The 25,098-nt window shown below is 35.6% G+C and overlaps 1 long non-coding RNA gene across 2 annotated transcripts in view; it reads right to left on the bottom strand.

Annotated features, from left to right (window-relative positions):
* Nucleotides 1–258: 258 nt before the first annotated feature.
* LOC105371656 (uncharacterized) overlaps nt 259–25,098 on the bottom strand; it is a 62,271-nt gene continuing 37,431 nt past the window's right edge. For both annotated transcript variants that reach the window (XR_922371.3, XR_922370.3), the window contains exon 3: nt 259–377. This is a non-coding gene — a long non-coding RNA (uncharacterized LOC105371656). The remainder of the gene's footprint in view (nt 378–25,098) is intronic.

Below are 25,098 nucleotides of genomic sequence, written 5' to 3' on the forward strand. Positions count from 1 at the left end.
TCATCTCTGTAGTCAAGAAGTAAATCACCATATCATAGAGAATTGTGAAGGATCTGAGATTTTATCATCTTACAAGCTAACAGGTTAGCTGGCTACAATTTCACAGATTCTGCAGAAGACACAGGACTCCAGGATCAGACACAAAGAACTTTGCTACTCATGGCACAGCAGGTAGCATGAGCTTCATGTTCACACCAGTTTCCTTTGACTCCTCAGTCACATTGGAGTGGTGCAGAGAAAACTCAGGTGGATGCTGGACACACAGTGAGTTTGTTTCACAGTCAAAGAATTCTGATCTTTGGAAACCCAAATCTTTTATAAGGTATATGCAACCAAAAGCACCAAGTCTTTGCCCTGACGGGAGACACCGTCTCTATCTGTAAGGAGATAGAAGAGGACAAAGGGAATAAGTATCTCTGTTCTAAAACATGTAGGAATACAAGAAACATGTAAAGAATATTCTCCCTATACTTATCGTACCTGCTGTATCTTCTGTTCCTCATTTCTAAATAGCTGTGTGAAACTGGACAAATTACTTACCTTCATTGTCCCACAATTTTTTATGTGTTAATGGGAATAATAATAGTACCTAAAACACAGAGCTATTATGATTTTTCAAAGAGTTAATATGTCTAAAGTTTCTGTGGTAAAGGCTGGCACATTATTAAATGCTATTTAAGTCATTATTAAATAACTGAATAAGTACTTATTACTATTATCATCATCATATTTACTGTTCCTTTTCCATTTTGTTTGCCACTGGCACTTAGCTTCTCCCTTGTCTACTGCAGTATAGTCTTACTGTGATTCTGCACCCAGACTCTCACCTCCCCCATTTACTCTTTGTGCAGTTTCCAAAGCTTATTTCCTAAAATAAGTATCAGTGATGTCCACTTGATTCTTCCAGAAATTTTAGATGATTCCAGGTTGCAGACAGAAACTGGCCTGCAGTATGGAATTCAGGATCCTTCTCAACATGACTTTTTGGTAGTCTCTTTCCCCTTTAGACTTCCGTAGTTTAGACTTTCTGTATTTTATGAAGAGATTAGGCACATCTAGGCATCCACAAATTTGATCCTGCTGTTCCCTCAGTCAGAAACCCTTTTATCTTTACCTGTGAAAATTCTTGTAATGTTACTGATGTCAGTTCATGCTATTGCTTCCCCAAACTTCTTGCAAGCACACACTCTGCCTGGCTTATCTTTCAATACTCTCTTGGTTGTAAAAATCATTTTTAGCAACACAAGTATCATATTCATCATCCATCCACTTTCCTTATATTCTTCCTCTTTAACTTTCTACCCATCTAGTTCCTTTGTCTTTGCTTGTCAACATATCCTGGTCATTCTCTTCATTCATATGAACTGACTTAGCAGGCTCACTTTCCTGCAGCTTTAGGTTCTGCATAGATGGCTTCCTTGTGGACATCTAATTTGGGCTGATCCAGGATGAACACTGCCCTATACTGCTTCCCCTCTAATACTGCTGAGTTCTGTCTTTGAGGTTGAGGCCTTACAAGTCCAGAAACAAATCATCAATGCCTCATAGTCCTACCCTTCACCGTGTAGGAGGCTTATCGTCTTGATAATCAAACAAAAAGCCCAGCATCAAAAAGTCACCTGTGGTCAAAGCTGCAAATACTAAGGAAATGTTTTGGTGAGCATGAATAAAAAAAGGCATATTACTTCCTCCATTTAGCCTGTGCCAATTAAGACTGTGTAGGAGGAGATTTATTGCAATTAAATAATTTAAAATATTATGTATAATTTCAGTTAATTGAGCAAAAATGTAACAGCATTCAAGAGAAAAGAGCAAAGGAAAAACCAATGTAAAATTTAAAAGTATATACAGTCTATATATTGATCTGGGTTTATAAAGGGATTTAAATTGCAGTTCTAAATTTATTTAGTTTTATATTTCAATTGCACATCTGTTTCTCGTTTTCATGGAACATGTTTCAATCTCAGAGTGAAAGATTTCCTGAAAATCATAAGATTTATGTTTACTGTGTTCCTTATAAAACCAAACTCATGACAAGTGATGGTCAATAAGTGGTCTTTGTTGCATTAAATAAAAAGAATCTGTGAACTTTGAATGCTACTGCTTATTAATGCACATTACTGAATACATAAAGACAATGAAATATTGATAAAATGTAAATTTAACATAGTCCGCTAACATTAAGATAGAGGTTATTAAAAATGAAAATTAAGACATATATGATCAAATTGAATATCTGATGTAGGAAGAAAATAGGTAACACACAAAGCAAATAGAGAAAATAGCCAGTAAACACATGAGAATAATATATTACAAAGTTGCTAAAATTTTCCTCATACTTATTTAATACAACTAATAAAAAGTCCAGGATATGCCTTTTGAACCGATGCAACGGTGTGCCTACCGTGTATTGAGCCTTAGTAATCAAAGGAATTACCTTAGTTCCAGCCAAGGCAATAATGGGAGGGTGTATTAGTTCATTTTCATGCTGCTGATAAAGACATACCTGAGACTGGGTAATTTATAAAGAAAAAGAGGTTTAATGAACTTACAGTTCCATGTGGCTGGGGAGGCCTCACAATCATGGTGGAAGGAGAAAGGCATGTCTCACATGGCGGCAGACGAGAGAATGAGAGTCAAGTGAAAGGGGAAACCCCTTTAAAATCATCAGATCTCATGAGATTTATTCACTACCATGAGAATAGTTAAGTGGGGGTCTCTGCCACTGGTCCCTCCCACAACACATGGGAATTATGGGAGCTACAATTCAAGATGAGATTTGGGTGAGGACACAGCCAAAGATAAAGTGCAGTGATGCAGTTTTCTCCTGACCACTCCAGCACTTGGATTAAGTGTGTTACTACTTCTTATGAAGTCTATAAGCAAGTAATAATGGCAGTTCTAGATTGCCCTGATAGCCAATAGCTCATCTCAGCTTTTAATGACTAAAAAAAGTTCTGTTTCATGTGTTTGGCTGACCAATGACTAAGTGGCCAGGGATGGTGTGAGTGTCCTCCATTAACCCCTTTCTCTCCCAGATCTCCCCAGCCATCCCTATCTTCCAGCACAGTTTTCCAGAAATTATGAAACTAGATCATGCAATGGAGCTGGATGAAGTAACCAGGATCACAAAAGAGATCTACTTGGTATCATATCAACTAAACACCTGGCTCCTATTTTCTTTTGTTCGCTACAATCATTTTAAGAATTAACTAGTCTATTCTTCCTCCAGTCTGAGTTGTTATATTTTTTTCCGCTTAGAAGCGTTTCCCATAATAATTCATTTTTTTAAAAAATCAGATCAGGCCGAATGCGGTGGCTCAAACCTGTAATCCCAGCACTTTGGGAGACGAAGGAAGGTGGATCACTTGAGGTCAAGAGTTCGAGATCAGCCTGGCCAACATGGTGAAATCCCGTCTCTAGTAAAAAATACAAAAATTAGCTGGCCATGGTGGCGGATGCCTGTAATCCCAGCTACTCAGGAGGCTGAGGCAGGAGAATTGCTTGAGCCTGGGATACAAAGGCTGTAGTTTGCCAAGATCCTGCCACTGCACTTCAGCCTGGGTGACAGAGTGAGACCCTGTCTCAAAAAAAAAAAAAAAAATCAGATCACTGGTCTACTAAATTCCTTTAATATTCTGGGCCCTGGAATATTTTTACTACTGTGAAGCCTAGGCAGAAAGGAGGCACATGTGTTCAAAGGAAATGACATACTCAAATTTTAGTGAGAGAAAAAGCAGTGTTTCAGTTTACAAAGAGAAGATTAGACAGGACATTATGCATATTATTTTATTAATATTAACTTGTAATTACCATATGTAAAAATAAGACAAACACGATGAGAAAATTCAGTATGTCAACGCTGTTGTCAATAGATAGAGATGATTGATTTTATTTCTAAATCAAGATAGCCATATCTCAGAATAACAATTTGTTATTTGGCCTAAAATAGTCATTGAAAGAAAGTCTTTAATAGGAACATTTTAGTCCTCTCTTCATTTCTCTTTGTGGAACTTGATTATGTACATTTAATGGGCCATTTCTGTTATTTTTCTGAGATTAATGGATGTCTGGGAAACTTTTCCTCCAGTTAAACTTTATTTATTCATTATATCGGTTATCTTTTAAAATCATTTTGATACTTGATTTTGAAAACTGTAGATATACTTTGGTTGGAATATTCAGTTTCCAAATGCTAAACCAAACTGCCAATGCAACTGAATTACTGTCCATGTAATAACAGACCATTTATAAATTGATGAATGAATTGAGTGAATTAAACTAATCTTGTCTATTTAGGAATCTTTTCCCCAACCATTCTTTGTAATAGGATTTAGATAGATTGCTCAACAGCTCCATAGATAGATGGATAGACAAATAGAGTTGCCCATGCATTGTTCCCGCATAAACTGTCCTATGCAACTGATTAAATGCTCAATTTAAAAATAGTGTATAAAGAAGACAACATTATTCTTGTGATTATGAAAGAAATTATGACTTAATATTCTTTATGTTTTAATTACTGAAGCTCTATCTAGCAGTTTAGAAAAAATATTGAGTTTTCTATGAAATACATCTAGATTTTAGATTACCATGTGCATCATTTTATTGCCGGTCTAAATGGCTACCCAGACTTTCCCAAGGGAGAAGCCGTATTTTTCAGCGTATGCTTTTCTTTATTGGAATACTTGTTTTAAAATAATGTGTAGTGATAGCACAGAGTTCTTAAAGGTTATAACCAATCCAGACATCTCCTACACTGAAGATTCTGAGGAAAAAACAAACAAACAAACAAACAAAAAACCCAAAACTTGAAAGTTGTCATTTGCCAAAGCATTGCCTAGGAGAATATATTCAAGGATGATATATTGCGCATCCCCAAGTACAGGTTCTGTACTTGACTCTGGGGATACAGAAAATAGTAAGCCATACAATTCCCCTGCTCTCAGGAAGCCCACCATGCAAGAGATGAGAGGAACGTTAAACAAACAATTATACAAATTGTTATTTAATGACAATTGTAATAAGCACAGCATGCTATGAGAAGGCAACATATGGACTGCACACTAGTCTGTGGGTATTGAAACCTTTCCTGAGAAATGAACATTTAACCTGAGTTGGAGTGGAAAGGAGTGGAACTGATCAGATAAAGTGGTGACCAAATCAGCTAGCACTAAATTAAGATTGATTTTTATAGTATAGATTGCACATAGTTCTGAAGAAAGCTTTATAAATTAGCTACCTCCAATCATTTGAAAATGTAGAATTGCATGACTGTGTATAAATGAAGAACAGATGGCGAAGCAATCTAGTGATGAAAGTTGGAATAATCAGGAGGAAAACTTGAGCTGATTCTAAACGATAAGCAGTTTGGATAGAATGAGAGAAACAGCCTATTCCATTTCATTTACTCAATAGCCCACCGATATTTATGATGGACCTAGTATAGTCTAGCAATTGTCTTGAGTTCTGGAAGTACAGAGCACAATAAGCATTATGTCCTTGCTTTCGAGGAGCTCATTATCTAGTTTATGTATATACATACAATGGGCTCTATTAACAATTATGAAAACTGAGGCACAAAGTAGTAAAGGAACTTCCCCAAGGTCATACAAATAGTATAAATGATGAAGACAGGATTTGATTACAGGCAGCTGACTCCAAAGTCCATGTTCTTAACCACTGGTTTTGTATCATTAAAGTGAACATTTTTGCAAGAGGTAAAAACAAGATGCTATTGTACACATGAGAGCACCTGCTATGCCCCACATCCCCGTGTCGTGCGAACACTTTTGAGGGATCAACAGTTTCGCGGATCTGGCTCTGGCTCTTTAGCTCTCTGTGCTTGAGAATTCAACATCGTTAGTCCATATCGAGGCAATTTGGCATAGAGATTACTGCTACTCAGTCATACTACAATAATTAGACTGGAGCAGCCATGACCATTGAAGAGCAGAGTTTGAAGCCTGACTCAATGAGAATTGAACTTTGGCTTCACCACTTAGTCACTGCTTGTCCTTGACCAAGATAACTAGTATCTCAGGGAATCACTTCTCCCATCTGTAAAATGACAATATTACTAACATACTGGATTCTTGTGATGCTTAAGAGTGTTTATGCATACGTGTAAAGCAATTGGAAAAATGCCTGGATCTTAGTAAGAATCCATGATCAGGGTTGTAATGGTAATAGTTGTTGCAGCTGTAATTCAATACATCTGATATTAAGTGCTTGTCGAGATAGATTTTCTCTGGAACACTGTAGGCAATGCACTGGCACTATTAATCTCTGTCACTGTGGTTTCTATAGGGCAGATACTACCATTGACCTTCATTTTACAGATGGGGAAAGTAAGGCAGAAAGGTAAATAAACCTGTGAATGTTTCTTGACCTGTGCCACTGCTTTCTGCATGACTCATTATTTCTTTAGAAATGTAAACACATATGATTCAATGATAGCCTGCTGCAACTGGGAACTGGTCTGGCTCATCTACGTGACTTTGCAAATATCTGCTTTGACCCATCATGTGTTTGGTTGAAGTTCAACGTTCGTGGTTATTGACTACATGTGGATTGAGAGAGAGAGAAGAGAACTGAGAATTTCACTAAGCTTTTTATTTTTGGTTGTTGGATCTATGATGATGCTAGTAACCTAGAAAACAGTGGTGGGTGATACGGCAAATTAAGTTTTAGATAAACCAAATTTATAATTAGAGCTGGCCTAATTGTTCCTGCAGTTAGGCATCTGAGTATGCAAAACTGTATACATTATTCTTTTAAAAATATAACTGTGTTGAAATAGTCCATAAACATCTTCCAAAGTCATTTGACAAGTATATAAAACAAAATGTATTTTACTTTCTCCTTTTAAATCTAATCTCTTCAGAGGTAAGCACTGTTAAAAGTTACGTGACCATGCATCTAAAAGTTAAGTGACCCCCAACATACATGTTACATTAATCTTATTTCCCCCTATGGTCCTCTCAGTCTTTTTCCCCTAGGCCATTGGCTTGTGATCTCCTGACTGAGACTTTACTGAGGCAACCAGCAATGTGTGGATGACCACCAACTCCATGCAGGTACAACCCAGTAGCGGCTGTCTCCTGCCTGCTCCACAGCTCTCACCCCTTGGCTCTTGGCATCCTTGTTAAAGCTGTCATTGAAGCAGATCTCTCTAGGTGTCCACACGCATATCACAGAAGTGCAGTGGGACTGACACTTGTGACGCAAATATTTGAGATATGGGAGACGAGAGCTCATGACTAAAATCTTCTGCCTTCTTTCCCAGAATGAGCCATCGTGTTCTGACAAGTTGTTGTTTCTCTGGTAATACCGTCCTTGGAGATCAAGCAATTATTGGGGATGGACACCAAGTGCCACCCTGCATCCTGGTGTTGGTCCTTCCGACTTTGCTGGAATTGCACTCTCTAACAGCACAGTAGCATATAATTTTTGCTTCAGGGTTTGCTTTCCATGAATATCACAGTTAGACAGTTCAACTAAATGTATGGAAATTATTGCACATCTCTATGTAAAAAGGTCCCTTTTGCTTTGTTTTGTTTTTTATACTTGGCTAGACAGAATCATTTATGTAGCCATTTTCTTTTGGATCAACCTTTAGATTTTTTTTATTTCATTGAAATTCAATGTGATATATATATATATGTTTATATATGTATGTTCATTTTTTAGCATTTTGTAGTATTTGCACCTTTTCAAGTACCTGATATCCATTTGTATGTCTACTTTAGAAAATGTTTTTTTTCAGATCCTTTGCCCATTTTTAATTGCAGTATTCATGGTTGTTTTTGTTTTTGATTTTTTGCTATTGAGTTGTATGAGTTCCTTATATATTTAGGACAGTAATCTCTTATCAGATATATGGTTTGCATTTCTCCCATTCAGTAAGTTGCTTTTTTATATTGTTTCCTTTGCATACAGAAGCTTTTTAGTTTTATATAGTCCTAACTGTTTAATTTTACTTTTGTTGTCTGTGTTTTTGGTGTCATATTTAAAAAATCATTGCCAAGACCAATTTCAAGGAAGTTTTTTTCTATTTTTTCTTTAAGAGTTTTACAGTTTCAGGTCTTACATTTAAGTCTTTAATCCTTGTTGAGTTAATTTTTGTGCATGGTGTAAAATGGGGATCCAATTTCATTCTTCTACATGTGGGTATTCATTTTTCCGAACACTGTTTATTGAAGCGACTCTCCCCATTGTATATTATTGATGCCCTTGTCACACAATAGTATACCATATATGTATGCATTTATTTCTGATCTCTCTATTTTGTTCCATTGGTGTATGTGCCTGTTTTTTTTTTTTTTTTTTTTAGTGCCAGTACCAGTGTTTTGATTACTATGGCTTTTTAATATAGCTTGGAGTCAGAAAGCGTGATGCCTTCAGCTTTGTTCTTTCTCAAGATTGATTTAGTTGCAGTATTTTATGGTTTTATACCAATTTTAGGATTGTTTTTTCTATTTATGTGAGAAATGCCATTGGAGTTTTTATAGGGAGTACATTGAATTCGTTGATCACTTTGAGTAATATGGCCATTTTAACAACAGTAATTTTTCCAATCCATGAACACAGGGTATCTTTACATTGATTTGAGCCTTCTTTAATTTCTTTCATCAATGTTTTATAGTGTTTAGTGTACAGATCTTTTACCCAATCCATGAACACAGGGTATCTTTACATTGATTTGAGCCTTCTTTAATTTCTTTCATCAATGTTTTATAGTGTTTAGTGTACAGATCTTTTACCCCCTTGGTTAAATTTATTTTCAAGTAATTTGTTCTTTTTGATGCTACTACAAGTGAGATTGCTTTATTAATTTATTTTTTGACAGTTCATCTTTAGCATATAGAAATACAACTTGTTTTTGTATGCTGAATTTATATCCTGCAACTTTACTAAACTTGTTTATCAGTTCTAATAGTTTTTGGTTGAGTCTTCAGGGTTTTCTATATATATAAATTCATGTCTTCTGCAAACAGAACAATTTAACTTCTTTCTTATCTGGATGCCTTTTATTTCTTTTTCTTGCCTAATTTTTATGGTTTTAATTTCTTGAATTACCAGTGAGTTTGGGTATCTTTTTGAATATTCATTGACCATTTCCACGAGTTGTGTTGTTAGTTTTCTTTTTAGCTGAATTACCCACTCACATCCTTATTATTTTATGCCACTGATTTCATGTTTTGTTTTCTATTTTCATGGTGGCTTAGAGGAGGTCTTCATGTATTATTAAACACATGCTTATATGTACCTTATGGGTATTTGTCACTTATTTGTTAACTTTGTTTATGGTATCTTAATCTATACAAATTCTCAATTTTCTTTTCTTTTCTTTCTTTTTTTTTTTTTTTTAGATGGAGTTTCTCTCTGTCGCCCAGGCTGGAATGCAGTGGTGTGATCTTGGCTCACTGCAATCTCTGCCTCCCGGGTTCAAGCAATTCTCCTGCCTCAGCCCCCTGAGCAGCTGGGATTACAGGTGCACGCCACCACGCCTGGCTGATTTTTTGTATACTTAGTAGAGATGGGGTTTCACCATCTTGGCCAGGCTGATCTCGAACTCCTTACCTCAGATGATCTACTCACCTCAGCCTCCCAAAATGTTGGGATTACAGGAGTGAGCCACCGCCCCCGGCCCTAAATTTTCTTAAACTATCATTTATTATTTTGCATTTTATTCCATCTTCCAAAAATCTTTCCTCATTCACATCATATTAAAAAGAAAAATCTTCTACTAAATTTGATTTTGCTGTTATTTTTGATACTCTACTTCATATCCATCTAAAGTTTTTATTTGTGGTGTGATATACAAATTAATCTATTTTTTCTCTCAAATCAGTAGACAATTGTTAAAACATTACTTACTAAATATTTTATAACTTATTCATTGATTCAAAATTCCATTCTAAGAGCTTTCTCTCTCCCTCTGTCTTAACACCCACCCTTTTCTGGACCTTCCATTTTTATTTACTTGTATCTGTATTGTCATGTCAATATCACAATGTTTAGATTGGTAAATAATTATATATTTTCATACTTGGATGAATATACCATTTATAATTTTTTAAATATTGGCTATTCAGTTGTATTTGTCTTCCAATACAAAACCTTAGATTCATTTTATTGTCATAATTTGTAAAATTCAATTAGTATTAATTAATGAATTTTCTAGAGACAAGGTCTCACTCTATCATCCAGGATGGAGTGCAGTAGTTCAATCCTAGCTGACTGTACTCAATTTTTCCACCTTAGCCTCATGAGTAGTTAGCACTACAAGTGTGCACCATCATGCCCAGCTAATTTTTTATTTTATTTTGTTTTTTGCAGAGATAAGGTCTTGCTATGTTGCTCAGGTCTCAAACTCCTGGCCTCAAGTGATCCTGCTGCCTTGGCCTCCTAAAGTATTGGGATTACAGGCATGAACCATTGTGCCAGGCCTCAATTAGGATGTTAATTATCATTTCATTTAATTTATAGCTTAATTTACAGAGAGCTGACATTGTCACAATATTGAGTATTACATTCCAAGAATACAGTGTATTTCTATAAAACAACTTTTGTATTATTTTACATGCTAAATAAAATTGAAAAATAATATTAGCATGAGTTTTCCTTTTTTTTCAGGATTGTTCTTTGACATCTTGTTGGGTTTTTTTGTTTTGTTACAATTTTTCAGATCATTTTTGGGATATGAGAGCTCAAATATTTATATGTTGGTCTTGAATTGGTAATTGACCAATTGCTCTTGTTTTTTGTAGCTTTTCAATGGACTCTTTTGAATTGTATCACTTCCCACTCAACTTGTGCATTTTAACTTTTTTTTTTTTTGGGATGTTTAGAATCTGTTTTTGGAATATTTAAAATTAAAAATAATGGTATATATCTTTAGTTCTTTTATTTTTATTTATTTATTTATTTATTTTTGAGACACAGTCTCGCTCTGTAGCCCAGGCTGGAGTGCAGTGGCATGATTGTGTCTCACTGCGAGCTCTGCCTCCCAGGTTCACGCCATCCTCCTGCCTCAGCCTCCCCAGCAGCTGGGACTACAGGCACATGCCACCACACCCGGCTAATTTTTTTCTATTTTTAGTAGTGATGGGGTTTCACCATGTTGGCCTGGATGGTCTTGATCTCCTGACCTTGTGATCTTCCCACCTCAGCCTCCCAAAGTGCTGGGATTACAGGCGTGAGCCACTGCACCTGGCCATATCTTTGGTTCTTTATGTTAATGGAAATGTTTCTCCATTAAATTTAACATTTCTTGTAGAATTGATTTTTATACAGTAGAAGACTTTTTCATTCTTAAATTTTTTTTAAAAAATTCAGGAATTCCATGTTCATTTAAAGATGATTACAACATATTCAAATGATAGTATTAAATACTAGTTAAAAATATGCATTTTTTTGGTCAAGAGGGTGTTCCAAGCAGAAGACAAAAAAATTAGTAAGCTTTTTAATATGAGTGTATATTGAAGATGTACAAGTGAATAAATCATGAGGAGAAACTTTTCCAATAAAAAATCAGAGGCTGATTCTTTCTTACCCCCATTGACCCATGTACATACTGCCTTTATAACACTATGACATTATATTGTAAGTATTTATTGTAAAATTTATGCTTGCATGCCAAAATAGTTGGGGCCTATGTTAGGCTGTTCTTGCATTACTATAAAGAAATACCTGAGGCTGGGTAATTTAAAGAAAAGAAGTTTAATTGGCTTATGGTTCTGCAGGCTTTACAGGAAGAATGGTGCTGGCATCTGCTCAGCTTCTAGGGAGGCCTCAGGAAGCTTACAGTCATGGCTGAATACAAAGAGAGAGCAAGCATGTCATATGGCAAAAGCAGGAACAAGTGAGAAAGAGAGGGGAGGCGGGGGAGATGCCACACCCTTTAAAACAACCAGATCTCTCCAGAACTCAGTCACTATCCTGAAGAAAGCACCAAGCCATGAGGGATCCGCCCCCATGATCCAAACATCTCCCATGGGGCCATGCCTCCCACATTGGGAATTACAATTCAACATGAGATTTGAGCAGGGACACATATCCAAACTGTTAGGGCCATTCTTTAGTCTATTTGTCTTTTGTGTCTAGATGAATGACTAACAGAGTAGCCATTTAATCAATGTGTTTTTTAATGAATGGAAAGATAAGAAATAGCAAAGATATTGAGGAAATCCAGGAGACCATTCTATTGGTAGTAATATCTAAAAAATTAGGCTGAAAACCAAAGACAGAAACTTGTGTTAAAAACTTGGGAACATCAGTGACTTAGTGAGATCGATTTCAGTGGGGAAGGGATAGATATGAATGCTAGAATGTAATGGATGAGAAATGGATGACAAGGGATGAATTAAAGTAAGACGGAAAAATGTATTGTTTCAAAAAAATTGAGAGTGACACCCAAAAACAGAAAGCATATTTACCTTGTGAGAGAGATAGTCTTAATATTACTAACTTCAAGAATGAGAGAAATATTAAGTTTTGGGTTACAGAAGAAGGGCTCTAGAAGGAATTTAAATTCAATGGTGTTTATCTTCTGTTTGAAGGAGGGATAATTGAATTTCATGTAATGTATAAGTTCTGATGTTTTCTAAAGCCTATGACTACTACTTTAAATGGATTCATTAGTTTCCTTTTCTCATTTATGGAGGAAAATACTCCAGTATCTTATTTTAGGGTGGTCAGAGAAAATATAAAGAGAGCATAATAATTAATAAATACATTTGTAGACTTGTGTTCCTGTGGGAAAAAACTAGAAAAGTAATAAAAAGTGATTTTCTATTTACTAATCATAGCAGATTTCAGGGCTGGGTCATCCAAAACAATGTGCTACATCTGAGAAAGAACATTCAATCTCCTTTTGCATAATGTTTGAAGTAAGCTTTTGTACATGACAAAATGTAAAATTCTGTACAAAAGTTTTTATTATTCAAAACTGCCTTACTTGCAGAATATGTCATCTGGATGTTTACATAAAGACTCAAAATTTGTATTTTATTTTCTTCATTTTGGGTTCAGCATGAGCTGATGAAAGAACAACCAGGTCAGCAGTTTTGTCACTATAGAATTGCAAAAAGAGAGTTCAGATTGTACTTAGCCCCCTCCTTGATGACAGTTGAGGGTTGTAAAGAAGATACTTTTCACTTAAACATTTGATGCAATTAACCAGCTTGGAATTTTCTCACATCAGCAAATCTTATATTTGAGCAATCTAAATGATTGCTGACACAAACTCCCAGCTAAGAACGAAGAGCTTATCTTCATGCATAAAAAGGTACATATCATTGCTGTTTAAATTAGAGACACTGACATGTAAATTACAACAGCTCCCAGTAAATTATTAAGTTGGTGGTATGTCTCTGAGAAATATCTGTAAGCTTAAGTCAAGATAATCCAATAAGAGGGAAAGAGTAATAAAACATTTTGCCAACTTCCAGAATTGTTTTAATTCCTTGAAAATGTGTACCTTTACCTTTGTTACATACAGTTTGTCTGGGTAACCTATAGTTTCACTCATTCAATTTTCAATTTTCAGGAGACATTTACTTCATTAGAGATGAAGTAGCACTTCTACTATCTGTATCATATTGGCTATAGCTTGTTTATCCAGAGTGGCATGGTAGAAACAGAATCCACTTTAGAGTTGCATGATATTTATTGCACTAGTAACTTTGATTGCGTCCTTGAGCCAGTTGCTGATTTTTCTGAGCCTCAATTTTCTCACCAGTACCATAGAAATAAGGCTAATTGCGGCCGGGCATAGTGGCTCACACCTGTAATCCCAGCACTTTAAGAGGCTAAGGCGAGTGGATTACCTGAGGTCAGGAGTACGAGACCAGCCTGACCAACATGGAGAAACCCCATCTCTACTAAAAATACAAAATTATCCGGATGTGGTGGTGCATGCCTGTAATCCCAGCTACTAGGGAGGCTGAGGCAGCAGAATCGATTGAACCCAGGAGGCAGAGGTTGCAGTGAGCCGAGATCGTGCCATTGCACTCCAGCCTGGGCAACAAGAGCAAAATTCCATCTCAAAAAACATAACAAACAAACAAAAAAGAGACGAAGAAGAAGAAAAAAGAAATAAGGCTAACTTCCTTGCGGTATTACTGAATTAAGTAATCTAATATATATTTAACTATACATGGTAATAATTAGTGCTAACCAAACTTGAGTGCTTACTGTACCTGTAAGTGCTTTACTTGTACAATTCTGCCTAATCCTCACCATAATTACGAGATGGGCCCTCTCATTATCTAGAGAATAAGGAATAAGGCAATTATTCCTCCCAAAATTATAACTTACTTCTTCAAGCTTTACTGTATGTTTTAACCATTCTTTAAAAAATCATTTTTTAAGTCCATAAATTACATGTTATGGAGTCTGGATAGGACCTGATAAGAAACTTATCCTCCATAATTTTACCCTAACTGAATGAGTTTAATTATCCATAAATATAGGCTGTGGATTATTTCTGATTTATAGACTGAACTTATTCATTCATATGGTGTGCCTTTTGGTATTGTTGGTGTGTTGCTATTACTTGCATATCAAGTAGGAAACAAAGCAGTGTGGTCTCTGCTCTCAGGTAGCCTATGTTCTAATGTAGGAGACTCATAGGAATCATAAGTAAGCAGATAATTACAGACAATTACAACAACCACATAGGAGGCTAGAAGAAGGAGAACAAGGAAAACCTAAAAAGCTTGCAAAGAAGCACAGAGTCCAAAAGGGATTAGATCCAACAAATTAGGTGATAACCACTTTAGATGTTAAGATTATCTCCACGAGATTTCAACTACTTGGATATTATCAGAAAGTAGCTGACTAGATTGGTCTAATCATATCATATAGAAAGCTTCTCACTTAATGTTACAGAAGTTCTAATACCAAGTGGCTTGTATGTGGGGACATTTATCACATCACATGTCAAGAAGTTGCAAAAGATAATAAATCCAGTGTTGGTTGAGTCACTGACCCAATTTTGTCATTTAAGTTCCAGGTTCGTTTCATCCTTTTCACCTGTGCTTCTGGGCCTTTTCACCTGTGCTTCTGGCTCTAGCCAATTTCCTTCATGTTTGCAAGAGTTCTGTAGCAGTTCTAAGCTTTGAGCTCATATGTAACAGATTACATAAAGTATTTACACTAATGCAAGCCAAGGATAAGTGCATTTAAATACCAATGATTGAATGAACTGGCACTGAGAATTCCACATGAGAGAGAGAAAGAGGGGTGGTATGTATGGTGTGCATGTATTTAGTGCTTTTTGTGTGCCACACACTCTTTTAATTCTCATACCAACCCTGGGTGGAAGCAATATCATTATCTCCTTTGTTTAGATAAGGAAAATGAGACACTAAGAGATTGAATAGTTTGCCTCTTGACACTCAGCTGGCAAGTTATGGGGCCAGGATTTAACCTCATAGGCTCCAGGTTTTGACCATTATGCTCACATAAAGGAGTGCTCCTGGATTTGGCTATTCTGTGAATTGAAGTATGATATTCATTGATTCATTCACTTTATTCAGGTTTTTTTTTAACATTACTTCTTTACTTCATTAATTTAAAATATGTATTCAGTACCCACTCTCTTCTAGGCATGGTACTTGTCCGTCCAGTTGCAATAATATACAAACAGACCCTGCCTTGGCCCTCGCACGTCTTTCCCTCAAGTAGGAAACATATATCTTAAATAAACAATGGCACATACACGAAATTACATAGTGGGATAAATGCTGTATGGTTCAGAAAGCTATGGAAATGTGGTATGAGACCTAATCTAATCTGGAGGTCATGGAAGGCTTCCTAGAGAAAGTGAGGTTTGAACTGAGGCCTGAAGGATAAGTGAGTTAATTAGGTAAACTGTGGGGGAAAGGCTGTTCCAGGAAGAAAGTGATAGCACATCTTCTCTAACTAGCAACTTCCAACTGAAATGATCAGCATATCATGTAAATAGAGACACGTTTGCATCAACAGTGGGCCCAAACACAAAACCATCCTCCCGGAAGAATTTCTGCAGATACAGTGCTAATTCCCTTAAATGAAAGCAGCCACTGAAAGTTGGTGCTCATCTCCACTTTAAAGCATATTAGAGAGCTGAGTGGAACAAAACGAAGAGCATTAGAACCCCCACAAATATGGGGCAATCCTCAGATTGACTCTTGTAGTAAATGTCTACACCATCCAGAGACTCAGGCAAGGAAGAGAGAGGCTTTTTTTTCAGTTCTCCATCCAAATTGTTCACATGGTTTAGTAATGTGCTCTGTCTCCTTCCCCACTTCTCTGGATTCTCTAGATCTCTAAATGAGTAATGGATTATGTGTTTTTATCATGGTAGTTATTATTGCTATTTGTTTTAAAATTTATTAAATATGGGATATTTACTATGTGAATAATTTGATGGTGAAACACATCAGTCACTAAGAAAATTTGGTTAAAAAATCCTCCTTGACAGTAAATAACAGCATAGAAATCTCTCTCTTTACAGCTGATTTTACAGAGACATCACTAGGTTTAACATATTATAATAACTAGCATTTGTTAACTGCTTCCTATATGCCAATTGAGGTGCCAGTCACTTTATAAATTATCTCTTAGTCCTTCTAACAATCTGATATGTTAAGTATTGTTCTTTTCTTTTCATAAATGTAGAAACTGAGGCTCAGAGATAAAGCATACACCAGGTCAATGGTCTTTTAAATGGGAGAGTTGGGAGCCAGTTCCAAATCTGTCTTGCTTTGAAATCTATGCTCTTTCTACTATCCCACACTGCCTTCCAGCTTAAAAGATGTTAATATTCTCAAGATTAAGAGGATCAGGTTTGACTTGAAATAGATGATAGGTGTAACAAGATGGCTTGCCCTGCACACTTGGGATGCAAATATACTCAGGTCTCTCTTTTTCTTTTTCCTTCCAAGGAATCACATAAGTACCCACTTACTATCTTGACAGAAAGCTTTCCATGTCTGTCTTCGGACTGCTCCTTTGCATGAGCTGTTCTGATAGAATACTAGGAAGAGGATCAGACTTTCAAATCTCAGTGGGAAGAGTACTGAGCTCTAAGGAATGTGTGAAGCTCTGCTCCATGCTACTCCCAGTGCTGCAGTTGAAAAGTGGCCCTATGAAGTCAACAGAAAATACAGATTCTTTGGTGATTCATGTTCTGTTCTGGTTTTCCAAGGAAGGATAATTCCATAATCCTGGGGGTTGGGGGAGAGAATTGATATAGGATGCCTATTCTTGGGAAATAGATTGTCTCTTCCTTTGTATCTTTCTAAAAGGGGAGGAAATCTTTATCAGAAATCTCCCAGCAGACATAATCACATTTCAGTGGCAACAACTGCATTTCAACTATACCCAAATCAATCAATGGCAATGAAGGTGGTATCTTTAATGATTGGCTGAGGACAATTAGGACTCAAATATTGAGTCTGTGGTTGGGATAAACCTACCCTGTACATAGTCACACAGAAAGTGGCAATACCTGAATGAAACAGAGGTTTATTTAGTAAGGAAAAAGTGGGGAAAGTAATTGTGGGTAGAAAAATAAAAGCATTTACTATCAACTTTAGAGTTTATCTGGTAAGGGTAAAGGGAGAGCAAGGTAGCAGCAACAGAGTGGGATATACAGGTTTTCTGAAATGTCATCTCCGTAGTAGTAACTTCGCTGATTATTTCCAACTACTTTTTAATATTTAATTAAGAAATGTAAGAGTTTGTCATGGAGAAAACACACTTAAATGTTGAAAATTCAGTTCTACCAAAACATAAGTAATGTTACTTCTATTGTTTAAATTTTTTAAAAAAACAAGACACAATGACATTTACTATGAGAGTAACTATGTTACTGGAAGAAAACCTCTGGACTGTTTGGATACAGCATATGGAAATCACAAAATGCAGAATGTCTTAGCTGCAAAATTTGGCCATGTCCATATTTAATATCCTTCTTCCAGAAATATGCCCCAGAGTAATAGAGAAAAAAAGGCATCAACAAATCATTTAATGTAAAAGGTGACAACTGCAAATGAATAAAATATTTGTGAAAAGAGTAATTATTTATTCTCATAAGTGATCATAATTTTATCACAGCAAAAATTTAGCTCAGATTTCTTATTTTGGAAAATTATATTTATTATTAACTAGTAAAAAGTCATTTAATCAACACTTTTCTCACCAGAAAGATCAGAAAATTCTAGATTTGTGTACACACTGTGTAATTTATTTTTTGCACATTCCTACCCTTTTATGGTAGATACATGGATCACTTGTGTAACTGTGTCATTTATACAAACTAGACATCTTTTAAGGGAAAGACCTGTTTAACTTAAGAATAACACAAAGATAGAACATGAAAATTAGCCCCAATGACATAAGTAAAAAGACGCCCTAGACTTTACTAATTCATTTGTTCTTTTTCATTCTAGCCCATTTTATAATTGAAATTAAATCAGCATTGAATTTAACATAAATTAACATGATGTTCATTTACAAAATTATATTTGTGTTTTTTCAAGTTCATGAAATGTTCTTAAAATACTATGAGGAAAAAAAAATGAAAATGTACACACGTAAATTTTTCAATATGAAAATACATAGGAGTAGGCTTATATATGGCTCAGTTTTTAAAGTATTTATGGTCCTTTAAGCAATATTCAGAGTATTCTTGGATGTAGAGAGAGAGGCCAGCATGTATACAACTGGAAAGAGGTTTTCTCTGTTGTACCCACTTTCTCATTGGCAGTTTCTCCCTCTAGCCTACAGGGCAGCTACTCCTCCTTATTTCCTAGGACGATTTAGGTTGAAAACTCACCATGGTCTTATTTCCCAGAAAGACTTAATGCTAATCCTAATATTCAATGCCCTCACCTTAGTATCTAAGGCCTCATATTGATTGATTGATATAATGATGTGTTTATTCATTCAAAACATTTTTGGTACTATAATTATTCCCATTTTTCTCTGCCTTCAGTGTTTCAAGGTACCAGCCCAAAGTAGAAAATAATAGGTACCAGTCCAAGTAAGACAGAAAAAAAATTTACTTTCTAAAAGTGCCTCTATTGTTGTACTTTTACATTTACAGGATTTAGAAATAACTAAAAAAACACTAAGAGTTGAAACAATAAAAACATACGGCATTCACTCTCACAACTTTTTAATCCTGTATTTAATCATCGTAATTATTTAAAAAATACTTCCTGTTAAGTTTATTGACTGACTAATGGGTGATTATCTCCACTAATTATGGCAAATAACATCTGATTTTTTTATTAAAATGTCCTTTCCTCTTCATGTCTCCTTTAGTGTTTCCATCACAAGATTATGCCTAACAAAGGATTCAACCTGAATGCGGAATTTCAGGAGAATCAGAAATGATACACACTAGAACATTAAACATTTAAAGCCCAGTGCTCCCTTCTGTTATTGCTTCTCTTTGTTCATTAATCTAAACTGCATTAATTATAAAAGACCATAATTATGTACATTTTGCTAGCCCACAGCTGTTAGTATATAGCATTTAGGTTTGGGAAACATTCATTGAGTACCTACTCCATACCTGCTTTCCAAACTTTAATGAGCAACTCACCCTAGGGTTTTGTTAAAATCAGCCTCTGATTCAGTACCTCCTGGATTGGACTGTTAAGTCTGCATTACTGTTAGTGGAAATGTAAATTGGTATGGCTATTATGGAAAACAGTGTGAAAGTTCTTCAAAAAATTACAGATAGAACTGCCATTTGAACTATTAACCCCACTTCTGGGTACATATCCAGAGGAAATGAAGTCAGCATCTCAAAAGGGTATCTACACTCTCATGTTCATTGCAGCACTATTCACAGTAGCCAAGAGAAGGAATTAATCTAAGTGTCCCCAGAGAGATAAATAAAGAAATTCTGCCACTTGTGATAACATGAATAAACCCAGCAGACATTATGCCAAGTAACATAAGCCAAACAGAAAAAGACAAATACTGCATAATCTCACTTATATGTGGAATCTGAAAAAAAAAGTTGAGTTCACAGTAACAGAGAGTAGAATGGTAGTTACCAGGGGCTGAAAAGTGGAGGAAAAGGAGGGATGTTGGTCACAGGGTACAAAATTTTAATTGCAAGATGAATATATTCTGGAAATCCAATATACAGCATGATGATGATAGTTACTAATAATGTAGCCTTGAAATTTGCTGAGAGCAAATCTCAAATGTTCTCACTAAACACACACACAAACACACACAAATGGTAACTAGTTGAGGTGATGGATGTTAGCTTGTGGTCATCACTTCACAATGTATATGCATATGAAAACATCATATAATTCACCTTACATATATATAATTTTGTCAATCATACCTCAATAAAGCTAGTAAAAATAGTAATATGTCAAATGATGCTTGAGAAACTGAATAAAAATTTTGCAATTAAGTGCTTTCAAAGATAGTGAATATATGTAGGTGTCCATACAAAAATGTATACATGAATGTAGCATTATTCATAATAGACAAAAAGTGTAAACAATTCATATTTTCATCAATTGATGAATGGATAAATAAAATGTGGTGTAGCCATACAATGGGCAATTATCTCACAGTGAAAAGGAATGATTTACTAATCCATGCTATAACAAGGACAAAACTCAAAAACATTATGCTAGGTGAAAGAAGCCACAAGAAAGGACCACATGTTGTATGATTCCATTTATATGAAATATCCATAGAGACAGAAAGTAGATTGGTGGTTGCCTAGAACTGAAAAAGTTGAGGAAAAGTAGAGGTGACTTAATGGGTATGGGTTATTTGGGGAGTGATGAACATATTCTAAAATGATGGTGATAGTTGTACAACTCTGGATCATTTAATCATACACTTTAATGAATTGTTTGGTATATGAACAATTATATATCTGAACAAGGCTGTATTAGGAAAACAAGCAAAGTTCCTAAGTGATGCTGATGCTTCTGGCACCTGGACCACATTGGAAGTAGCTCTATGAGTCTATGAAAGGTCTCATATATAGGTTGTTTGCACACATATTTTGGTCACCTACCACATTTATTTTAAGTGACTGCTACCCGTTAGGCACTATTCTAGGTCCTGAGTCTACAACAGTCAAAGAACCACATAAAACAGCCTCATGGAACTTTCATTTCTGTGAGGTAAAGGATAGACAACAAAACAAATAAACATATTATATTTGATGGTGATAAGTTATACAGAGATAAAATAAGTCGAGAATGGCAATAAATCACATAATTGGGGAGTGTCAGGGGGGCTGGATGTTGCAATTTTAAATAGGTGTTCAATGGAGGCCTTGAAGAAGGGAATCTTCAAGAAATTGCCCGATAAAATACCAGTAATGAAAGTATCTGGAGAAGAATGATACAGGCAGAGAGAGGCAAAAGTGCAGAAGACATTTTTTGAGCTAAGAATCATATCATTTTTTGATAATATAAACTACTACATCCATTTTGTAAATTACATATATTTTATATGCCAGGTAGAATTTTGTAACTTGAACATTTGAAAAGAGTAAAAGTAAGTACACAAATATGGCAAAATCTGGTACTGCAGACAGAAACTTTCAAAGAGAGATTTTCTAAAAATAGAGTATTATGCTATAATTAGCCCAAAGTCTCTCCCACAAAAGGCTGATGAGGTCTTTCCTTCAAGCATGATCTCTGAATGAGTGTCAACAACAACACTAAGATGAGACATGTCTTGGGCTTGTTGGCTATCGAGTACTAAAGAGAACCAAAACAAAACTACATCTTCAGGATAACTCATAGCCTGCTCCAGTAGCTTGGATAGTGTGTTCTCGTCATTATGTTCAGAGTCAAGTGTGTACCAAATCATTATTAAAAATATCTGGGAGGTCAAAATTGCACTGTCCATTCAAGACTTTGGCCTTCTGTTCTTCTGAAAGGGTCTTGGCTTAGGATGACCACTTTCCAATATGCTTGACTTCCTGCTGGCAATTCTTATCTAAAACATCTAGATCAGAATGGAAATCAGTTAGGGTCATTGATATGGTTTGGCTGTGTCCCCACCCAAATCTCATCTCAAATTATAGTTCCCATAATCTCCATGTGTCATGGGAGGGAACTGGTGGGAGGTAATTGAATCATGGGGACAGTTACACTCATGCTGTTCTCGTGATAGTGAGTGAGTTCTCAGGAGATATGATGGTTTTATAAGGGGCTTTTCTTCTTTCACTCGGCACTTCTCCTTCCTGCCACCATGTGAAGAAGGATGTGTTTACTTCCCCTTCTGCTATGATTGTAAGTTTCCTGAGGCCTCCTCAGCCATGCTGAACTGAGTCAATTAAACTTCTTTCCTTTATAAATTATCCAGTCTCAGGTATGTCTTTATTAGCAGTGTGAGAATGGACCAATATAGTCATCATCTGCCAATGTGCCCTCACAGCTGTTTCCACTAAGTTCAACATCTCTAACTCTACATTTAACACTGGCTTTCCCACTTGTATTCTTCTATCTAACCAGACCTGACTATATTCAACTGTGCATTTTAACTTCCTATCTCATATATATATATATATATATATATACACTTCTTAACACATGTATACTTAAATATACATATCTAAAATCTATATCTATTAAAAAGACTCCAAGAGGGGAGAGATGAGGTACTTGCTCAAGGTGACATAGATAATAAATTAAAAATTGCAATCTATAGACTCATAGTCCATCTACAACACTACCACTAAAACCACGTCTATAAGGCTAAATCTTCCCCAGTTGTATCTGTGCATTCATTTCTTCTGAATTTCATCCTAGACTTTTCTGCAAATTTACAATACACGGCAATAGTAGCAACTCAGTTGTTTTAAATTCATTGCTTTGAAGGAAATATAGAAGGCACAATGAAATAAAGACATGAATATGGAATCCACATTTCGAAAAGCTAAGCAGAAATGATTACAGTCTGAGAAGTCAATTTTTATTATGTGGTGATCTGATAACAATAAAATCAATGGTACATCCTTTAGTATTACAGCGACTATTTTTTAAATATGTGGATAACAAACACACCTAACAATGTACTTTTAATTCTAGGCAAATTTCTTTAAAAATTATTTACCAACCATGAGGGTTAATTTTATGTGTCAACTTGCCTGTGTTAAGGGATGTCCAGTAAGGCAGCAAAACATTACCTTCAGGTGTTCCTGTGAGGGTGTTTCAGGAAGAGATTAGAGTTTGAATCATTTGACTGAGTCAAGGAGATTGCCCTCAACAATGTGGAGGGTCTCATTCAACATATTGAGGGCCCAAATAGAAGAAGAAGGTAGAGCAAGGTTGAATACTCTCTCTTTGAGCTAGGACATCTATCTTCTCCTGCCCTAGGGCATAGCATCAGCATTCCTGGTTATCGGACCTTTGGACTCACTTACACCATCATCACCTCCCAAAATACACCACCCACTCTCCTGATTCTCCATCTTGCAGACAACAGATAGTGAGACTTTGCAGCCTCATAATCATATGAGCCGATTCCCATTATAAACTCTAATACACTGACATCAATTTTACAAATAAGTTCAAAAGCATATGTATCAAGATGTATTAGCAGATCAAAGATCTGATATTGTCATCAATATTAAAAAGTACACTGAAAAATATCCTAAATACATGTAAAATACTCGGAGTAAAACTGGTCAAGGAGCAGCATTATTGGTGAAAGAAATTTGAGCATGTGGTTAAAGATAGTGATGAATATAAAAATAATATTATTCAGCAGAAGGGATCTTTAGAAAATTCACGTGATTAAAAAAATAAACCTTAACAGATGTTTAGCTACTAGAAATTTGAATGTTTGTTCGAACAATATCTTGTTTTATTTTTTAAAATTCTCCATCTAAGGGTACTACACAGTGTTTACTACTCTGGGGATCTTGTGTAGGATACAAGATTAGGGAAACAAAGCCTCCTCTTAAAATGATATGCCAGTTTTCTGAGACTAACACAATGTCAATAAACTAAGTAAATAGAAGACAGTCAATTGGCTGTGCAGCCTTTCCCTTTACTGGTAAGATTATGTGTCAACCTCCTAATGGCTTTGAAGAATTTGTTTCTTTCTAGAGTTCAAATTACAACTCTAAATAGAGATGAAGCAATTCACTTCCCAGTGAAGAAAGAATTTGAATTAGACAATAAAATAACAGATAACAGGACCATGTTCTAAATATAAAGTTTTATTTTACCAGGGTGAATCACTGACAGCATTCAAAAGGCCACAGGCAATGAAACTTAGATTTGAGAAGTAATATACCTCATAGGAACAAATAAATAATATAAATGAAAAACAAACCCGAATGAAGTATGTATAATGGGAGATAGTAGAAAAGGGTTATTGGAAATAAAATTCATTTTGAAAAGATTTTCTCAAACCTGAAGAATGAATATAAAAGCTAAATTTTGTTTTTCAATTTCCAATGATAATTTACACAGTGGTTGATAACATATGATGATCTCATCCAAGCCCAACACTGTAAATATTATCCATAATGCCAAAAAAATCTCAATTTTATTTCTTTGGCCTAGGTTTCCTTCTCTCTTGAACTCCAGTCTCACATATTATGTTACCCAACTTAAATTTTATTTAATATGTGATAAAAATCTTAAATTTAGTGTGTTCGAACAGAACTCCTGATTGTCTCTCTAAAAATTTATGCCTCTCATAGTCTTCTCCATCTCAGCAGATGGCATCTCCAGTCTTCCACTTGCTGAGGCCAAAAACCTTACCATCATTGCGATTCTTCTCTTTTTCTCACATCCTACAGAATTTGGCCACTTTTCAACACCTCCATCACTACTACCCCTTTCCAGCCCATCTTTATTTCTCAAATTTTATAATAGATTCCTAACGGATTCTACTTGGGCTACTTCCAGCCTTGCCTCTCACCCCAACACTGTCTCTCCTCAACACAATGTCCAGAGTAAGTCTTTTACTACATAAGTTACATCATAACACTCATCTGCTCAAAACCTCGATTGTCTCACATACCTACACATTCACACACACACACACACGTTGTGCACACAGTAAAAGACAAAGGCTTTACAA

The sequence above is a fragment of the Homo sapiens genome, chromosome 1, assembly GCF_000001405.40.
Source record: "Homo sapiens chromosome 1, GRCh38.p14 Primary Assembly".
Taxonomy (NCBI): Eukaryota; Metazoa; Chordata; class Mammalia; order Primates; family Hominidae; genus Homo; species Homo sapiens.